Source organism: Homo sapiens, chromosome 17 (assembly GCF_000001405.40).
Source record: "Homo sapiens chromosome 17, GRCh38.p14 Primary Assembly".
In the NCBI taxonomy this organism is placed as follows: domain Eukaryota; kingdom Metazoa; phylum Chordata; class Mammalia; order Primates; family Hominidae; genus Homo; species Homo sapiens.
The window spans coordinates 270,416-289,007 of record NC_000017.11 but is presented as its reverse complement, the minus strand read 5'-3'; the positions used below and the strand labels follow the sequence as shown (position 1 = coordinate 289,007).

The following is an 18,592-nucleotide window of genomic DNA, read 5'->3' as shown; positions in this document are numbered from 1 at the left end:
AATATACATTTCTTTGCAAAAGAAGCACATGGAGGGACTGAGACAGGAGTGGGGAGAGAGGGTGCGAGGTCTGACGGCCGGGAGAGAGGGAGTGAGGTCTGACGGTGGAGAGAGAGGGAGTGAGGTCTGACGGTGGAGAGAGAGGGTGCGAGGTCTGACGGTGGAGAGAGGGTGCGAGGTCTGACGGTGGAGAGAGGGTGCGAGGTCTGACGGTGGAGAGAGGGTGCGAGGTCTGACGGTGGAGAGAGGGTGCGAGGTCTGACGGTGGAGAGAGAGGGTGCGAGGTCTGACGGTGGAGAGAGAGGGTGCGAGGTCTGACGGTGGAGAGAGAGGGTGCGAGGTCTGACGGTGGAGAGAGAGGGTGCGAGGTCTGACGGTGGAGAGAGAGGGTGCGAGGTCTGACGGTGGAGAGAGGGTGTGAGGTCTGACGGTGGAGAGAGAGGGTGCGAGGTCTGACGGTGGAGAGAGAGGGTGCGAGGTCTGACGGTGGAGAGAGAGGGTGCGAGGTCTGACGGTGGAGAGAGGGTGTGAGGTCTGACGGTGGAGAGAGGGTGCGAGGTCTGACGGTGGAGAGAGAGGGTGCGAGGTCTGACGGTGGAGAGAGGGTGTGAGGTCTGACGGTGGAGAGAGGGTGCGAGGTCTGACGGTGGAGAGAGGGAGTGAGGTCTGACGGTGGAGAGAGAGGGAGTGAGGTCTGACGGTGGAGAGAGGGTGTGAGGTCTGACGGTGGAGAGAGGGTGTGAGGTCTGACGGTGGAGAGAGGGTGTGAGGCCTGACGGTGGAGAGAGAGGGTGCGAGGTCTGACGGTGGAGAGAGGGTGCGAGGTCTGACGGTGGAGAGAGGGAGTGAGGTCTGACGGTGGAGAGAGGGAGTGAGGTCTGACGGTGGAGAGAGGGTGTGAGGTCTGACGGTGGAGAGAGAGGGTGCGAGGTCTGACGGTGGAGAGACGGAGTGAGGTCTGACGGTGGAGAGAGGGAGTGAGGTCTGACGGTGGAGAGAGGGTGTGAGGTCTGACGGTGGAGAGAGAGGGTGCGAGGTCTGACGGTGGAGAGAGGGTGGGAGGTCTGACGGTGGAGAGAGAGAGTGAGGTCTGACGGTGGAGAGAGAGTGTGAGCTCTGTCGGTGGAGAGAGAGTGTGAGGTCTGTCGGTGGAGAGAGGGAGTGAGGTCTGACGGTGGAGAGAGAGTGTGAGGTCTGACGGTGGAGAGAGAGCGTGCGAGGTCTGTCGGTGGAGAGAGAGTGCGAGGTCTGTCGGTGGAGAGAGAGGGTGCGAGGTCTGTCGGTGGAGAGAGAGGGTGCGAGGTCTGACGGTGGAGAGAGAGGGTGCGAGCTCTGACGGTGGAGAGAGAGGGTGCGAGGTCTGACGGTGGAGAGAGGGTGTGAGGTCTGACGGTGGAGAGAGGGTGTGAGGTCTGACGGTGGAGAGAGGGTGCGAGGTCTGACGGTGGAGAGAGGGTGCGAGGTCTGACGGTGGAGAGAGGGAGTGAGGTCTGACGGTGGAGAGAGAGGGAGTGAGGTCTGACGGTGGAGAGAGGGTGTGAGGTCTGACGGTGGAGAGAGGGTGTGAGGTCTGACGGTGGAGAGAGGGTGCGAGGTCTGACGGTGGAGAGAGGGAGTGAGGTCTGACGGTGGAGAGAGAGGGAGTGAGGTCTGACGGTGGAGAGAGGGTGTGAGGTCTGACGGTGGAGAGAGGGTGTGAGGTCTGACGGTGGAGAGAGGGTGTGAGGTCTGACGGTGGAGAGAGAGGGTGCGAGGTCTGTCGGTGGAGAGAGAGGGTGCGAGGTCTGACGGTGGAGAGAGAGGGTGCGAGGTCTGACGGTGGAGAGAGAGGGTGCGAGGTCTGACGGTGGAGAGAGGGTGTGAGGTCTGACGGTGGAGAGAGGGTGTGAGGTCTGACGGTGGAGAGAGGGTGCGAGGTCTGACGGTGGAGAGAGGGAGTGAGGTCTGACGGTGGAGAGAGAGGGAGTGAGGTCTGACGGTGGAGAGAGGGTGTGAGGTCTGACGGTGGAGAGAGGGTGTGAGGTCTGACGGTGGAGAGAGGGTGCGAGGTCTGACGGTGGAGAGAGAGGGTGCGAGGTCTGACGGTGGAGAGAGAGGGTGCGAGGTCTGAAAGCCTGGAGTTGTGTGGCTTCTGCCCTGGGTTAGGCCCAGAAGCTTCATCGTTTAACACCCGGACGCAGTTCCAGGCTGCAGGGTGCATGAGGCAGCCAAGCCCGGGAAGCCAGGACTCGCTTGCCCTGGGCAAATCCACTCCGAGGAAGCCCATCTCAGGCAGGGAAGTGAGTGGCCACCCCTGGGCCCCGGGACTGTCCTAGACACAGATCGTGAAGGGCTGTGTTTGCACCAAGGTGATGTAGAGGCTGGCTTGCTCGCTGTCGCATGGGTTTTCAAAAATACCACCTGTTTCGTTTTCTTTATTGGAACCTGGGAACAAAGACCGAGCCCATTGGAAGAGGCCCATGACTGCCTTATTGATCTGAGATTTACGAAAGCAGCAATTATGTGTTATTTGAGTGGGAGCGTGTCGTCTTTCCGTAGCCCTCGCCTCTTAGGAACGCCCCCTGCCCCCTGCCAGCCAGAGACACTGAAGCAGCAGGGGGATGGCTGAGGTGGAGAACTGACCCCAGGTGCCGCCAGCGTTGGTTGGTAGCGGGAAAACAGGCTGCCCGAGGCGCGATCTGGGGAGCAGGAAGCACCAGACCCTAAGGGGAAGGCAGAGGTTCGTGGGCCCAGCAGGGACAGCCCTTCACCCAACCTCTGGAGGGCGACTGGTCCACGCTGCTCCTGTCCCCAGATCCGTTGGCTCCGCGTCCTCGTGGTCTGTGAGTAGAGGACAGGACTCAGTTCCGTGGACACTCTCCTGGCTTCTCTCCCTGCCCCCACGGCACTGTTTCATCAGTGAGACACGTGCACATTTGTCCCTCAAACCCCCCCACAGGGCAGCCGAGCACCCCCCCAGCAGTGGCGGGGGGACATCGGAGCAAGTGTTGAGGGCATCCCGGGGTGCACAGTGGGGCCTGGGCCCCACCCTGTTCATCCGTGTCCTGTCACGCCAGGCCTGTGCCCCTCACGGGTGCTCAGCGGGTGATGGTAACGTGGATTAGTGAATCGCAGGGGAGGTGAGCGCTAGACGGGATGGGGGTGGAGATAGAGCCGCGCTGAGGGGCAGGCACATGAGTGCATCAGTCGGGTTGATTGGAAGCTGTAGGGGAGCAGGGGAGCAGGCTGTTGGCAGGTTGAGTGGGGAGACTGAGGGCAGGGTCCTCTGGCCGAGCGCCGTCCTGCAGAACCTCACGGTGAGGATGAAAATGTATTTCTCTGCTGTCCCTTGCGGTAGCCACCGGCCACGTGAGGCCACGGAGTACCTGAAATGGGGTCAGTGTGACCTCAGAGCTGTTTTTCATTTTATTCCATCACAATCAGTTTGCACTTAAATAGCCACCTGCAGCTGGTGGCTACCGTATTAGATCGTGTGGGACTAGAGGAAAACCACGCCGGGCTGCAGAACACGGTACGAGGGGCTGCACTAACCGCAGCTGGCATTTATCGAGTCGCTATTACGTGCTGGTTGCTTTTCCTGTGTCTCAGTTGATCCTCAAAACAACCCAAGGGTGTAAGTATTATCCCACTTTACAGCTGAGAACGTCTGAGGTTTAGAGAGGCTTTGGGTGACTTGCCCGGGAGCCCACCCAGGTCTGCCATCCCCAAACCTGTGCGCCGTGCCGTGCGGCCTCTGAAGGAGCCGAGAGTCACGTCTCAGGAACAGGATCTGGTGATAGCGCAGGATGGCGTGAGGTGCAGGCTCAGGGGGACCGAGGGCTCTAGACGACTCCAGGGCTGAGAGACACGACGATGCTCCCATTTCTAGGGCTCCCGAGTACAAAAGCAGAGAGAGGATCCCAGTCCTGGTCGGGCGCTGCTGTGGACTGAATGTTTATATCACCCCAAAATACCTACGTTGAAGCCGTCACGCAGATGTGATATTTGGAGATGGGGGCTTTGGGAGGGATCAGATGAGGTCCTGAGGGTGGGACCCTGGGGATGGGATTGGCGTCCTTATCAGAGGAGGAGGCCAGACCTCACTCTACTGTGGGAGGGTACAGCAAGAAGCTGCCGTCTGTACGCCAGGAAGAGCCCTCCCCAGAACCTGACCGTGTGGGCACCCCGACCGGGGCCGTCAGGCCTCTGCAGCTGTGATAAACATGCTTCTGTTGTTTCAGCCACTCAGTCTATGGTATTTTTGTTACAGCAGCCTAAGCTGACTACGATGGGGCAGAGGCTGTCCTCTCCCCCTTGGCTGTGTGCATAGGGGAAGGCGGCCCCCGGGGGAGAGGCCAGGCTGCGAGGGCACCTGTGGGGTGCAATGGAGAGGCTGCCGGGCCTCCTGCTGACAGCTGGAAACCTCTCCCCTCCCCACTGGGAGAGCATGGAGGGCAGGGCCAGACTGTCCAGCCTGGGCCGTTGCTCCTAGAGTCAGCATCAGGCCACACTCACGACCCCAGCAAAGCTTTGTCCCAGGGTCGGCCCCTGGCACCTTCTCTGCCCATTGTTTTGAGAGCCATCAGCCACGTCCCCAGGGACCCGCCTGAGCAGAAGCAGCTCTCTAGAGAGCCGTGCGCACCAGCCTGGCACCAGGGCAGGGGAGGGTGTGACCGACCCTCCTGAGGTCTGAACAAAAATTCTGCTTTACCGTGAACGAGCTGTGTGACCTCGGGCAGCCCGAGTCATCTCTGAGCCTTTGTTCCTTCATCTATATAGTGGGGATCATAACACCTGCCTCCTTCATACTCTGGCCCGGTCCGATAACTGCTCACTAACTGCGCTGTGGGTGTTTGATTCCCTCCTGTTCCCGCAGCATCGCCTCGTTCAGCAGCCTATGCAGGGCAGGGCACTCTGCATGTTTATAAGGTGAGCTGCCCTCAACCGATGCGTGTGTAGAGTGCAGAAGGGAGAGCTCACGTCTCTGAGGGCCACACTTGTTTCCACCTGTTACAGTGTACACAGGGATGGTGGGAATTCGCAAGGAAAACAGAGCTAAGTAGCATCAGTGCTTCCTCTCCCCTTTACCCAGAGAGGAGAGGCCCACGTTGTGGTTCTGGAGCCCACCTCATAGGCTGATGGGGGACCCTGTTGTAGAGGTGGGAACATTAGGAGCGAAGGGTGGAAGAGGTGGAGAGAGGCTGCTCTCTTGGGGAAGGGGAGAGTCACCAGTCTCTGTGAGGGATGGTGGCCTAGGGTTCCAGGGAGACAGGCTACTGGTCCTTGGAAGGGCTGAAGCCCAGCCTAGCAATGATCCCAAACCCAGGACTGGCACAGATATGACCACATGCTCCCACTCCCTCTCATGGGGTCATGAGAGCTTGGGAAGCAAGAAGGCCAGCAGTGAGGAGTGTGGACGGCGCTCAGGGGACCCTCTGCAGATCTGGGCCATCAAACACCCCAAGCCTAGGACCTTCATGAGAGCTGGAAAGGGGCCCCAAGTGTGGCTGAGGCTTGGGCAGATTTTCCTGCCAATCCAGAGGGACAGGAGCTTGGAGCAGATTGCATTTTCTTTGGATAAATAAAAGGTGACATTTCTCGTACCTGAGCATTGGATGGTAGCAAATCCGTCCCCCGCAGGAATGTATCATAGCTTCCGTCCCCCGTGAGTTTGCTCCCCCACCCCAGGGGCACTGAGCTCGGCCACCCGATCAGGCCAGTGACCTCCACACGCTCGACACGCTCGACGTGGAAGCCAAGTTGGTGACATTTTCCCTCTCCATGGAGAGACGTGCTCCTTGCTGAGTTGGCAGCCTGCAGAAAAGGCCAAGCAACAGATGCAACCTTCCCTCGGCGGGGGGCTGCAGAGAGCCCCCACCCACGCAGGGACCGGGTGGCTTCCGTGTGGCAGAAAGATGGATGAGCTGGGGCAACAGTCCTGAGGAGTCGCCAGCGATCGCTGAATCAGACTCTGCCTGGGTTAGCCTGGAGCCGGTCTCAGCCCCAACACATCCACCTCTGCCTCCCAGCTTGCTTCTTCTGGCCTTGTTGCTGTGCCTTCAGGGGAAGCAACGTAAGAACTGTCCTGCATCACATAATGACGTTTCGGCCAGCAAATGTCCCACACCATTATAATACCACATTCTTACTGTACCATTTCTATGATATATTTAGATACAGGAATACTTTCCGCTGTGTCACAGTTGCCTGCAGCCTTCGGTACAGTAACATGTCGTTCAGGTTTGTGGCCTAGCAGCCACAGAATACAGCAGCTAGCCTGGGTGTGCAGCCGGCTATACCATCTTGGTTTGCGTAAGTGTGCTCTATGTGCTGTTTGCACAATGATGCAATCACCTCACTGTGCCTTTTCTCAGGACATATTCTTGTTTTTAAGCAACAGTAATTGTATTTATAAGTTATGAGCTTAATCAACCTTGCTTAAAGCAAAGCCCCTTTCCAGTTCTCATGAAGCTCCCAGGCGTGGGGTCTTCGATGGCCCAGCACATCAGCAGACTGTAGGTTCTAGATTCTGGTTATTTCTGCGTCCAGAGAACATGATAAACTGTCTCTGGAGTCCGACCGGAATCCGTGGCTGCCATGTGAACCTGAGCATATCCTCAGACTCTGCCAAGCCCCGGGTTCCTCACCTATAACGTGGGCCCAAAGTTTACGTAACTGTCACGTTGTTACCAGCATTTCTCACGATTGTGTCTTCTGACCTGTCGGACACGCAGGCCAGTTTCGGGTTATACGCAAACGTATGTTTCTTTGTTGAATCGCATTATTTCCAGGCAGCACCGCCGTCGGCTGTGTGAAGGCCAGATCACGTGCTGTCGTGTTTGCCTGGACCCTCCCCTGGCATTGGGCGTCTGTGTTGTTTCCAGTTCTTTGCTATCAAACGTGACGCAGCTGTGAATGTCAGCAAGCTTTGCTGTGGTTCCAACAGAACCTAACTCTGGGGTGGGGGTTCCGTGGATGGGGCCATCCATTACGTCCAAAGCCAACTAAGGATTTTTAGATGAGCTGTGCCTCTGGGGTGATTGATTCCTTCTATCCTGAAGCAAGAGACGCTCCTTGGAAGATGCTAAGTGTCCCTTCGTTACAGTTGTCTGAGCCCCTCGGCGGAGGAGGAAGCGGCTGCAATCTTTACAACCCCATGTCCTCTCTCTTGTAGAAAGTCTGCACCAAATGTGGGATCGAGGCCTCCCCTGGCCAGAAGCGGCCCCTGTGGCTGTGTAAGATCTGCAGTGAGCAAAGAGAGGTAGGGCGTCCAGGGTGACGGTGGGGAGGGCTGAGTGGGCTGGATATGCCCTCAGATGGGGATGGGTGGACGGTCAGGGTGACGGTGGGGAGGGCTGGGCGGGCTGGATACGCTCTCAGATGGGGATGGGTGGACAGTCACTGGGAGGGGTTTCTCCAGAAGTCAAGGAAGAACTGACCACTCGGCGGAGAAAAGCACGGAGGGACAGCCTGTGGCCACTTCCCCTATGCAGGGGTGGCAGGTTCTACACGTGGGAGAGTCCGAGGTTTCGGTGGGAAGCCCCTCGCACTGTGAGTGTGAGAGCATGTGGTGTTTGTGGGGGCTGTTATTATGGTAACAGTAGTAGCTACCCAGGGTGAACGCTGACTGTGTGCCTGGCACTGCCATAAGTTCCTTGCATGTATGAATTCATTTCATCCCTGCACAACCCCAGTGGTGCTATTCTTATCCCCTTTTCCTGATGGGGAAATAAAGACACAAGAGGTTAAATAACCTGCAAGCACAGAGCCAGTTAGTGGGGGAGCTGGAAACCAAACTCAGCCGTTGTCTGCTGTCACGATGCCACCCAACGCCCCTTCTGCTGCTACAGTTCTATGGTTCTAGTTCCAACCCCATTTGAGGGAAGGAAGTCGAGGCTCAGCAAGGACTCTGGGGAGTAGCAGATGGGCAGGGACAGTCAGAACCTCCCTGTGCCAGGTCGGATTGGAGCCAAAACAGCAGGACGTGGCAGGTAGCTTCTGGGAAGTGCCCTGGGGAGGCAGGGCTGGGACAGAATGTGAGGGGCGAGGAGGCGTGCAGCTGGTCTTCCAGATCAGGATTTATTACTTTTTAAATCTTGCTTGTCACATCCGAGGATCCACAAAACACCTTCAATTCTGGAAAATTCTCAGCCATGATGTCTTTGAATATTGCTCCTCTGCCATTCCTTCTCTCCTCTCTGGAAATCCCGCTGGATACATTTCAGAGCTCCTCAACCATCCCCCACAGCTCCCAACTGCTCTTTCTTGTTTATTTCTTTATCTTTCTGTGGTCCTTTCTGGGTGAATTCTTCAGTACTGCCTTCCAAGTCACTAAGTCTTTCCTTGAGATCAATTCCCCATTGGTTTCGTGGGTTGTCTTTCTTAGGGTTAGTTTTCCTTGGAAGTTTTGGAATTTTGGTTTGTGCGCTCATCCTGTGTGATAATAGTCCGTTTCTCTCTGTTTCCCACCCGGCTCTTCTAGCTGAATAGTTTTGCAGCTGCCTCCCGCTGGGTCTGGGGTTGCCCAGTGCTGAGCCAGGCATCCTGGGTTTGTGGCGAGCTGCTCATCCATGGTGATACTGGGATTATTCCCAGACCCTCATCCCAGCCGTGACAGCTTGGCCAGGCCCTGCTGCTGCTGGGCTTGCTTTCCTCTGAGCTCATTTCCTTATGTATGTTATAGTCCCGGGGCAGGTCCCTGCTGTTTTCAGCCTCCTTTCCCAGGTGGAAAATCCCCTCAACAGCCTGATTTTAGTGACTCTGCTCTGGTCCCCCACCTCCCAAGGGTCACTTTTAGTCCCTGAACCCTGGAAGACCAATCTCCCAGCTGCCTCTGTCTGCTTCGGAGCCCAGAGCTCAGCAAGCGGCTGTGCCTTCACCCCTCAAAATGGCAAATACTTTGAATTTATGATCCATGGAGATATAGATCTTGTTTTTGCGCACATTTCCTTGCTGCTGTTGTTGTGAAAGTATTTTCCTCTATCACTTCCGTGTCTTTGGAACAGGAAAAGCTGCAGGCAGGGCCTCACAGTGTGTGCTAGCATTCTGTCTTGCTGGAAGTCCCTGACTCCTCATCCCCAGATGGAGTTAATAATGTCTGCTCCACAGTTGCTGCGAGAATTCAGTAAGACTGTTGAAGTGGGCAAAACCTCCAGCATAGATATTCCATAACTATCAGAGGCCTCCCTTCCTCTTCAGCCAGAAATCTCCCCTTTGAACCTGAGGTCCTTCTAATCTTCAGGGGACCCCTTTGACAATGCACATGTCCATGGAAGAGGAAATTCCTTAAAACATCGTCTGTGGGGAGACACTTTGTGGGATGAAAAGATGGTCACAGCTGAGCTGTGGGAGGGCAGAAGTGAGGGATCTTTGAAGGAAAAGAAAGTGAATGGAAGGAAAGACAAATTTAGCAAGTTTAATAATTTAGTTGAGGGTTTCCCCATCCCCCTCATGAGTCACCCTCACACTCCGTAACAGTCTTGAGCTACCACCAGCCTGTCTTAATCTCCAGAGGGCTCCAGTGCCCAGAAAAGTCCGAAATAGCTTAGGATGAATTTTCTTATCTTTCCTAAGGCAGAGAATATGAGGCTGTGCATTACGCTATTACTTTGCCCTTGAATTTTTAGAGGCTGATAAAACTTAGCCTCTAAAAGATCAAGGATATTCCCTCTCTGCAGCACCAGGCATATGGTGCACGGTTAGCAGGAATGGATGGGGCTGGGAACATGTTCATGGTATATGAGCCTGGGTACCTGTGGGTACCAGAACCATGTGCTGGATTTTTCTGCCTGCTTGTGGGGTGTGGGAAGGCTGGCGTAATTGGTTTCCTAATGCCCTTTCTTCTTAGAAAAATGTCTAATCATAATGAAGAGATAACTAACTAGAAAGGCCGTTTAAAATGTCAGATTTTAAGCTGGTTCTGAGTCTGTGATGAAAATTTGGAGTTATGTCTCCCCGCAAAAGCCAAATCCTAATGGAAGAACTTGGGTTTTCTGATGAAAACTCTTGGAGCATTCTGCCCAAGGCCTCTTATCTTCCTTTCCTTTCGTGCTTCACTTCCATCATCTCTGGCTGTAATTGTAAGTATTTTTTCTGGAGCGAGTTGAGTGCTGGTGAGATGTTCCTGGGGCTGTCAGGGTGGTGTTGCTGCCTGTGTTATGCCCTTTCACCAGGCGGCAGTGTGAGCCTCAGCCCATCTGCTTTGGGAGCCTGCAGTCAAATGCGTTTATTCATGTAGGCAGCTGACACATTTATTGAGCACCTCCTATGTGCCAGGCAAAATAGCTCTTCCAATGGGAGAGGGAGACCACAAACCCAGTAAATTCTGCAGTGTCACAGACGGTGATCAAGTCCTTAGGGCAAAGGGAGAAGGGGTGCTGGGGACACTGGGGCAGTTGCTGGTTTATATGGGGATAAGAGAGGGGCCCACCGACAAAATGACTTTTGAATGGAGATCTGAAGCATCTTCTGTGGCTATGTGGAGGGAAAGCATTCCAAGTAGGGGTGCAAAGCAGCAGGTGCAAAGGCCCCGAGGCAGATGTGTGTGCTTGGTAGATCTGAGGCACAGCGAGGAGACCAGTGTGACTTGAGTTAAGTTGGGGCTGGGGAGAGGTTGTCAGATGTATTAGTCTGTTCTCATGCTGCTAATAAACACATACCTGAGACTGGGTACTAAAGGGAAGAGGCTTGATGGACTCACGGTTCCACATGGCTGGGGAGGCCTCACAATCACGGCGGAAGGCGAAAGGCACGTCTTACATGGCGGCAGGCAAAGAAAGAATGAGACCAAGTGAAAGGAGTTTCTTCTTATAAAACCATCAGATCTCGTGAGACTCATTCACTATCACGAGAACAGTATGGAGGGAACCGCCCCCATGATTCAATTACCTCCCACTGGGTCCCTCCCACAACACTTGGGAATTATGGGAGCTGCAGTTCAAGATGAGATTTGGGTGGGGACACAGCCAAACTGTATCATCAGAGTTACGATAGAGTGGGTCAGACCATGTTGGTGCTTAGAGACCTTTGTAAGGACTTAGGGTTTCGGGGTTTTTTTTATTTGTTTTGTTTTTTTGAGACAGGATCTCACTGTGTCACCCAGGCTGTAGGGCAGTGCCACGATCTCAGCTCACTGCAACCTCTGCCTTCAGGGCTCAAACAACCCTCCCCCCTCAGCCTCCCGAATAGCTGGGACTACAGGCTGTACCACCACGCCCAGCTAATTTTTTGCATTTTTGTAGAGACGGGGTTTTGCCATGTTGCCCAGGCTGGTCTCAAACTCCTGAGCTCAAGCAAATCCACCTGCCCCAGTCTCCCAACGTGCTGAGATTACAGGCGTGAGCCACTACACCTGGCCAAGACTTTGGTTTTATATTCAGTAAAATGAGGCGCCCTTGGAGGGTCTTGAGTAAAGCGGAGACAGAATCCGATCTCCCCCTCTTTTAAAGGGTACTCTGTCTGCTGTGCTGAGGATAAACTGTAGACTATCTCAAAGCCAGTAGCATAGTATTTTATTTTTCTTATTTAATATTGCCCAGATATTTAAGTTCTTATCTGTTGTTACCTTTGGAAGTTTTCATTTTTTAACATCTACTCTCTACATTTTACTCTTTTCTGATTATAAAATTAATATGGATCATTGAGGAACATTTACAATTATAGACAAGCATAAATAAATAAACACCTTCCAAAAATCCAGAATCAGAGACAACCACTGTTAATATTTAGTATATTCCAACCATTTTTCTGTGTCTTTTTTCTTTATATTATTGAACCTGTGTTTTAAAATGAATATCTTAAGTCTTTTCCGGTGTAATCAAGAACTCTTTGTAAACATTCTGTCATATAGATATTCTCCTAATTGAGGACATTTAAATTGTTTTCATTTCTTTCTCTTATTACTGTGTGCATAGCTCTCTGTCTACATTTTAGATTCTATCCTTAGAATGGATTTCTAGGAGGAAAATCAATGATTATTTTCTTGTAGACTCTTGAGTTATTTTATTTTTCTAATAATTAGCTGGTCTGTAATTTTATGTAATTAAAAAAATAAGGGTGCATGGATGATACATTTTCTGAGTCCTTGGCTCTCTGAGAATTTTTGCCTTTATACAAAAAAGACCACTTTACAGATAATGCAATTAATCCTGATCTTTCCCACTCAAAATTCTGTGGATTCTACCCCTGTTGTCCACCAGCCACATTAAGAAAAGAGGGAGAAATGGAAAATATAACAGCTTGGAGAATTGGTACCCAGAAAATGAGAGCGAATAGTGAAATGGTGAAAGAGATGATAATGTGTTTTTTAAAAATTAATTAATTAAAAGATATAAGAGAGGCCAGGTACAGTGGCTCACACCTGTAATCCCGACATTTTGGGAAGCTGAGGCAGGAGGATTGCTTGAGCCTAGGAGTTTGAGACCAGCCTGGGAGATATGGCAAGACTTTTTCTCTGCAAAAAAATACAAAAATTAGCTGGGCATCGTGGTGAGCGCCTGCAGTCCCAGCTTCCTGGGAGGTTGAGGCGGGAGGATCACTTCTGCCCGGGGGGTGGAGGTGGCAGTGGGCTGAGATCGTGCCACTGCACTCCAGCCTTAGTGAGAAAGGCTCACTGAGGTCTTTAGAGCAAGGCCCTGTCTCTAAAATAAAACAAAAGATCTAAGAGAAGGAATAGAAACCAGGTTGAACAAACCAGACCTTTGAGAAAAGTACAAGCAAATTTGGAAAAGAACCCCAGGAACCATTTTCATCCCTAAAAATGAGAGATCTCACGAATGAATTTTAAAACTCGGTTGAACTATATTTTAGTCATTTCTTAGCACGGTGAACCTTGTCATTCCTATTAACAGCCACAGATGTTTCCTTATCATTTGCTTCTCATTGGTTATTTTAAATGTTTGATTCCTGATTGGTGCTCCCAACTGTCTCGTCCCCGATTTCCTCTGTACCAACTGTCCTGGAGACGAGGTTCTTGAGACCACACAGAACCGTGACATCCTCCTAATGAGCTGCTTGCCTTTGTAAACTGGCTGCTTAGCTCAGAGCTCCATTTCCCAGCTCTGGACTTTCCATTCCATTCCCGCTGTGGACTGGCACACTCTAGTCCCTCGCCTGGTTTTCTTGCTGGTGGATTAATAAACTGTGATGTGTGTTCAAGATTTAAATAAACAAAAAAGGGAATAAGCCTGGGCATGGTGGCTCACACCTGTAATCCCAGCACTTTGGGAGGCCAAGGTGGGCAGATTGCTTGAGCCCAGGAGCTTGAGACCAGCCTGGGCAACATGGTGAAACACCCTCTCTACAAAAAATCCCCACATTAGCCAGGTATAGTGGCACACGCCTGTAGCCTCAGCTATCAGGAGGCTGAGGTGGGAGGACTGCTTAAGCCCCAGAGGTCGAGGCTGCGGTGAACCGTAATTGCACCAATGTACTCCAGCCTGGGAGCTTATGGTTCCAAACTGTACTCAGAAACACTTGTGTGCAGTTTGAAGAATCATAATAAAAGAGGTACCCACTAATTACCACTGGAGTCGTTACCCCACTGCAGACGTCCCCATGCTTAGTTCTGCTTGTGTTTGAATGTGACATAAACAAGGTGGATCTGTGTGTATTTTTCTGTGCATTTCTTCTTTATTCGACATTGTGATCTTGAAATTCACCCATGTTGATGTGTGTAGCTGTATTCATTCCCATCACTGTGGTCTATATCCCATTGTAAAAAATACGTACCTATTTATCCATTCTACCATTGGTGATCATTTTGGTTACTCTCCTTTTTTTGTTTTTTGTTTTTTTTGCTGTTATGAATAATTGTGCTGTAAACATTCATGTCTCCTGGAGTACATGTTCATGTACAAGAGTTTCTGCAGATTTTAGGCCTGAGGGTTTCTCTTGGATTATGGGGTGTGTCCACATTCAACTCTATTGGGTAATTCCTGATCATTTTCCAGAGTGCCTGTATTAATACCAGCTCATGCTCCTATGAGCCTAGAACAGCATTCCAGCTACTCTGTTTTCTCCGTGACCACGTCTGCTCTTTCCCCTCCGGTGTAAGTTTCGATTCTGTTCTCCACTCTGGTTTCCCGGCAGTCCTCCATTATTTCCTTTATTTTGCTCCTTTTCTTCTTTTGGTTTTCTATTTTATTAGTAAGGCCCGTCTTTATGTTTCCTAGACACCAAACAATTGTCTAATTATGTTCCTGAGCCCTAGCATGCCACATTCACCTGCACTAAACACTTTGGAGGTTTTCCCCTCCCCGCTTCTGCAGCAGCCTAAGCCCCGCAGACCCAGGATTGACTCCAAGGCGTCTCCTCATAGCCCCTCCCTTGGTCTGGGATTGTGCCTGTGACCCTGCCCCATGCAGGAGGCACCTTTGACTCTCCTGCGACCTGGCCCGTCGGAACCAGGGAGGACGAGGGACCGCAGCCCCTGGCTTATGCTGTCTCCTCCGCTCTTCCTGCTCTCCCTGCTCTCCCAGATGCAGCCTTGCTTCAGGAAATACTCCTTCCCCAATGCAACTCACATTGCCGGACTGGCTAGATTCTGGAAGCTGTATCTCCCAGGGATGACAGGAGGGTTGGCGGAGGGAGGACAGCCCCTGTGGCCCCAGGAACTGGCAGCCCTGAAGTGCCAGGAAGGCTGCCCAGGCGGCTTCAGCTGCTGCCCCTACTCCAGCCAGGCAGGCGAGGCCCAGGTGGGCAGGCGAGGCCCAGGTGGTCCATGGCACGCCTCCCGTCTCCCGCCTCATCCCCTCACCTGATGTGGAGCCTGGTGCTGAGCTGTCAGAGGCCCCGGGCTGGGGTTTCGCGGTGCCTTTTCCACGTGCTTTCATGGGTGCGTTAGTTGGGGCTGGGAGGAACGGCCCTGGCGGCTTCTAAGCACAGGATGTTGCAAACCAGAAATTCATTTCATTTACTGTTTAGCCTCGAATCCCTATCCACTAAACGAAAACGAAGAATGACTCACTCAAAGTGATGCTGTAATCAGTAGAAAAGTTCACTGGAATCTAGATTCCCCAGGATTCTGCAAACCATTCCTGCAGCGTCTCAAACGTACCTGGGCCATAAGAAAGCTTCTTGGAGGACACAGATGTTATCTGAGGGGGGGTGGCCTAGAAAGGGGTGAAGAAGACCAATTTTTAAGGAGCTGAAAGCTGGTTAAGACAATTAGCGTGTTCTTCTCTGTTCAGCATTGGCTTTGCCTCCTCAATTTCCCGCCACATCCTGATTATAACCCGGCAGCCACGGGCCACAGCCAGCACTCAGTGTCTCCTGCAGTGTGTTGTATATAAAGGTGCTCGGGAAAAGTTTGTGGATTGAAAGAGAAATTTGCAAAGAAATTTCGTGTTCCGATCTCTTCAGAATCTTTTCCCTGTGGGGCACTTTGGATATCCCCGACGTCGCCCTCGCTGGGGTCTCTTCCTGACGTCGCCCTCGCCGGGGTCTCACCCTGACGTCACCCTCGCTGGGGTCTCTCCCTGACGTCACCCTCGCTGGGGTCTCTCCCTGACGTCACCCTCGCTGGGGTCTCTCCCCGACGTCGCCCTCGCTGGGGTCTCTCCCTGACGTCGCCCTCGCTGGGGTCTCTTCCTGACGTCGCCCTCGCCGGGGTCTCACCCTGACGTCACCCTCGCTGGGGTCTCTCCCTGACGTCACCCTCGCTGGGGTCTCTCCCTGACGTCACCCTCGCTGGGGTCTCTCCCTGACATCACCCTCGCTGGGGTCTCTCCCTGACGTCACCCTCGCTGGGGTCTCTCCCTGACGTCACCCTCGCTGGGGTCTCTCCCTGACGTCGCCCTCGCTGGGGTCTCACCCTGACGTCACCCTCGCTGGGGTCTCTCCCTGACGTCACCCGCGCTGGGGTCTCACCCTGACATCACCCTCGCTGGGGTCTCTCCCTGACGTCACCCTCGCTGGGGTCTCTCCCTGACGTCACCCTCGCTGGGGTCTCTCCCTGACGTCGCCCTCGCTGGGGTCTCTCCCTGACGTCGCCCTCGCTGGGGTCTCTTCCTGATGTCGCCCTCGCTGGGGTCTCACCCTGACGTAGCCCTTGCTGGGGTCTCACCCTGACGTAGCCCTTGCTGGGGTCTCTCCCTGATGTCGCCCTTGCTGGGATCTCACGTCGCCACTGGCCCACTGAGGCTGGGTCTTTATTTCTTCCTTCTGGCCCCTCTCTCCTGCTTGTTGATTGACTAAAAAAAGAAAAGTGGCTTCACAGGGTTGGTCTTACATGGTTTTTTGGTGTGTGTGTGTGTGTGTGTGTGTGTGACTTAAATAATACTTTAAGTTCTAGGGTACATGTGCTCAATGTGCAGGTTCGTTACATCTGTATACCTGTGCCATGTTGGTGTGCTGCACCCATTAACTCGTCATTTTAGCATTAGGTATATCTCCTAATGCTATCCCTCCCCCCTCCCCCCACCCCACAACAGTCCCTGGAGTGTGATGTTCCCTTTCCTGTGTCCATGTGTTCTCATTGTTCAATTCCCACCTATGAGTGAGAACATGCGGTGTTTGGTTTTCTGTCCTTGCGATAGTTTGCTGAGAATGATGGTTTCCAGCTTCATCCATGTCCCTACAAAGGACATGAACTCATCCTTTTTTATGGCTGCATAGTACTCCATGGTGTATATGTGCCACATTTTCTTAATCCAGTCTATCACTGATGGACATTTGGGTTGGTTCCAAGTCTTTGCTATTGTGAATAGTGCTGCAATAAACATACGTGTGCATGTGTCTTTATAGCAGCATGATTTATAGTCCTTTGGGTATATACCCAGTAATGGGATGGCTGGGTCAAATGGTATTTCTAGTTCTAGATCCCTGAGGAATCACCACACTGTCCTCCACAATGGTTGAACTAGTTTACATTCCCCCAACAGTGTAAAATTGTTCCTATTTCTCCACATCCTCTCCAGCACCTGTTGTTTTCTGACTTTTTAATCATCGCCATTCTAACTGGTGTGAGATGGTATCTCATTGTGGTTTTGACTTGCATTTCTCTGATGGCCAGTGATGGTGAGCATTTTTTCATGTGTTTTTTGGCTGCATAAATGTCTTCTTTTGAGAAGTGTCTGTTCTTATCCTTTGCCCACTTTTTGATGGGGTTGTTTGATTTTTTCTTGTAAATTTGTTTTAAGTTCTTTGTAGATTCTGGATACTGGAAACATTCCCTTTGAAAACTGGCACAAGACAGGGATGCCCTCTCTCGCCACTCCTATTCAACATACTGTTGGAAGCTCTGGCCAGGGCAATCAGGCAGGAGAAAGAAATAAAGGGTATTCAATTAGGAAAAGAGGAAGTCAAATTGTCCCTATTTGCAGATGACATGATTGTATATCTAGAAAACCCTGTTGTCTCAGCCCAAAATCTCCTTAAGCTGATAAGCAACTTCAGCAAAGTCTCAGGGTACAAAATCAATGTGCAATAATCACAAGCATTCCTATACATCAATAACAGAGTACCAAATCATGAGTGAACTCCCATTCACAATTGCTTCAAAGAGAATAAAATACCTAGGAATCCAACTTACAAAGGATGTGAAGGACCTCTTCAAGGAGAACTACAAACCACTGCTCAACAAAATAAGAGAGGGCACAAACAAATGGAAGAACATTCCATGCTCATGGATAGGAAGAATCAATATTGTGAAAATGGCCATACTGCCCAAGGTAATTTGTAGATTCATTGCCATCCCCATCAGGCTACCAATGACTTTCTTCACAGAATTGGAAAAAACTACTTTAAAGTTCATATGGAACCAAAAAAGAGCCCGCATTGCCAAGTCAATTCTAAGCCAAAAGAACAAAGCTGGAGGCATCACGCTACCTGATTTCAGACTATACTACAAGGCTATAGTAACCAAAACAGCATGGTACTGGTACCAAAACAGAGATATAGACCAATGGAACACAACAGAGGCCTCAGAAATAATACCACACATCTACAACCATCTGATCTTTGACAAACCTGACAAAAACAAGAAATGGGGAAAGGATTCCCTATTTAATAAATGGTGCTGGGAAAACTGGCTAGCCATACGTGGAAAGCTGAAACTGGATCCCTTCCTTACACCTTATACAAAAATTAATTCAAGATGGATTAAAGACTTAAATGTTAGACCTAAAACCATAAAAACCCTAGAAGAAAACCTAGGCTTTACCATTCAGGACATAGGCATGGGCAAGGACTTCATGTCTAAAACACCAAAAGCAATGGCAACAAAAGCCAAAATAGACAAATGGGATCTAATTAAACTAAAGAGCTTCCACACAGCAAAGGAAACTATGATCAAAGTGAACAGGCAACCTACAGAATGGGAGAAATTTTTTTTTTTTTTCTTTTGTGGAGTTGGCATCTCACGATGTTGCCAAGGCTGGCCTCAAACTCCTGAGCTCAACCAATCCTCCTGCCTCTGCTGCCCTAAGTGCTGGGATTACAGGCATGAGCCGCCATGCCTGGCAGGGTTGGTTTTTAAATCCTCTCCAACTCACTTATCCTGGAGGTGACCAGCAGCCCACTGGGGTCTTCCAGCTGGGAGACTCTTCCTCAGTCTGGGCCTCACAGGCCTACGGAAGGTCAGGATCATCGGGGGCTCCCAAACTCCGCAGCCAGC

General features: G+C 51.8%; 1 protein-coding gene across 4 annotated transcripts in view, besides 1 other annotated feature; it reads left to right on the top strand.

Moving 5' to 3' along the window:
* Nucleotides 1-18,592, top strand: part of RPH3AL (rabphilin 3A like (without C2 domains)) — a 140,419-nt gene that overhangs the window by 63,800 nt on the left and 58,027 nt on the right. For 2 of the 4 annotated variants that reach the window (NM_001190411.2, NM_006987.4), the window contains one exon: nucleotides 7,154-7,240. The exons of the other annotated variants lie outside the window; for them this stretch is intronic. In NM_001190411.2, coding sequence (NP_001177340.1) covers nucleotides 7,154-7,240 — 87 coding nt within the window. The remainder of the gene's footprint in view (nucleotides 1-7,153; nucleotides 7,241-18,592) is intronic. 4 annotated transcript variants of the gene reach the window in all.
* Nucleotides 2,203-2,724: an enhancer, noted in NCBI's record as "H3K4me1 hESC enhancer chr17:136075-136596 (GRCh37/hg19 assembly coordinates)". NCBI's record gives its function as "activates a minimal SCP1, AML or CMV promoter by ChIP-STARR-seq in naive H9 embryonic stem cells {active_cell/tissue: H9 hESC(naive)}" and the evidence as "EXISTENCE:reporter gene assay evidence [ECO:0000049][PMID:30033119]".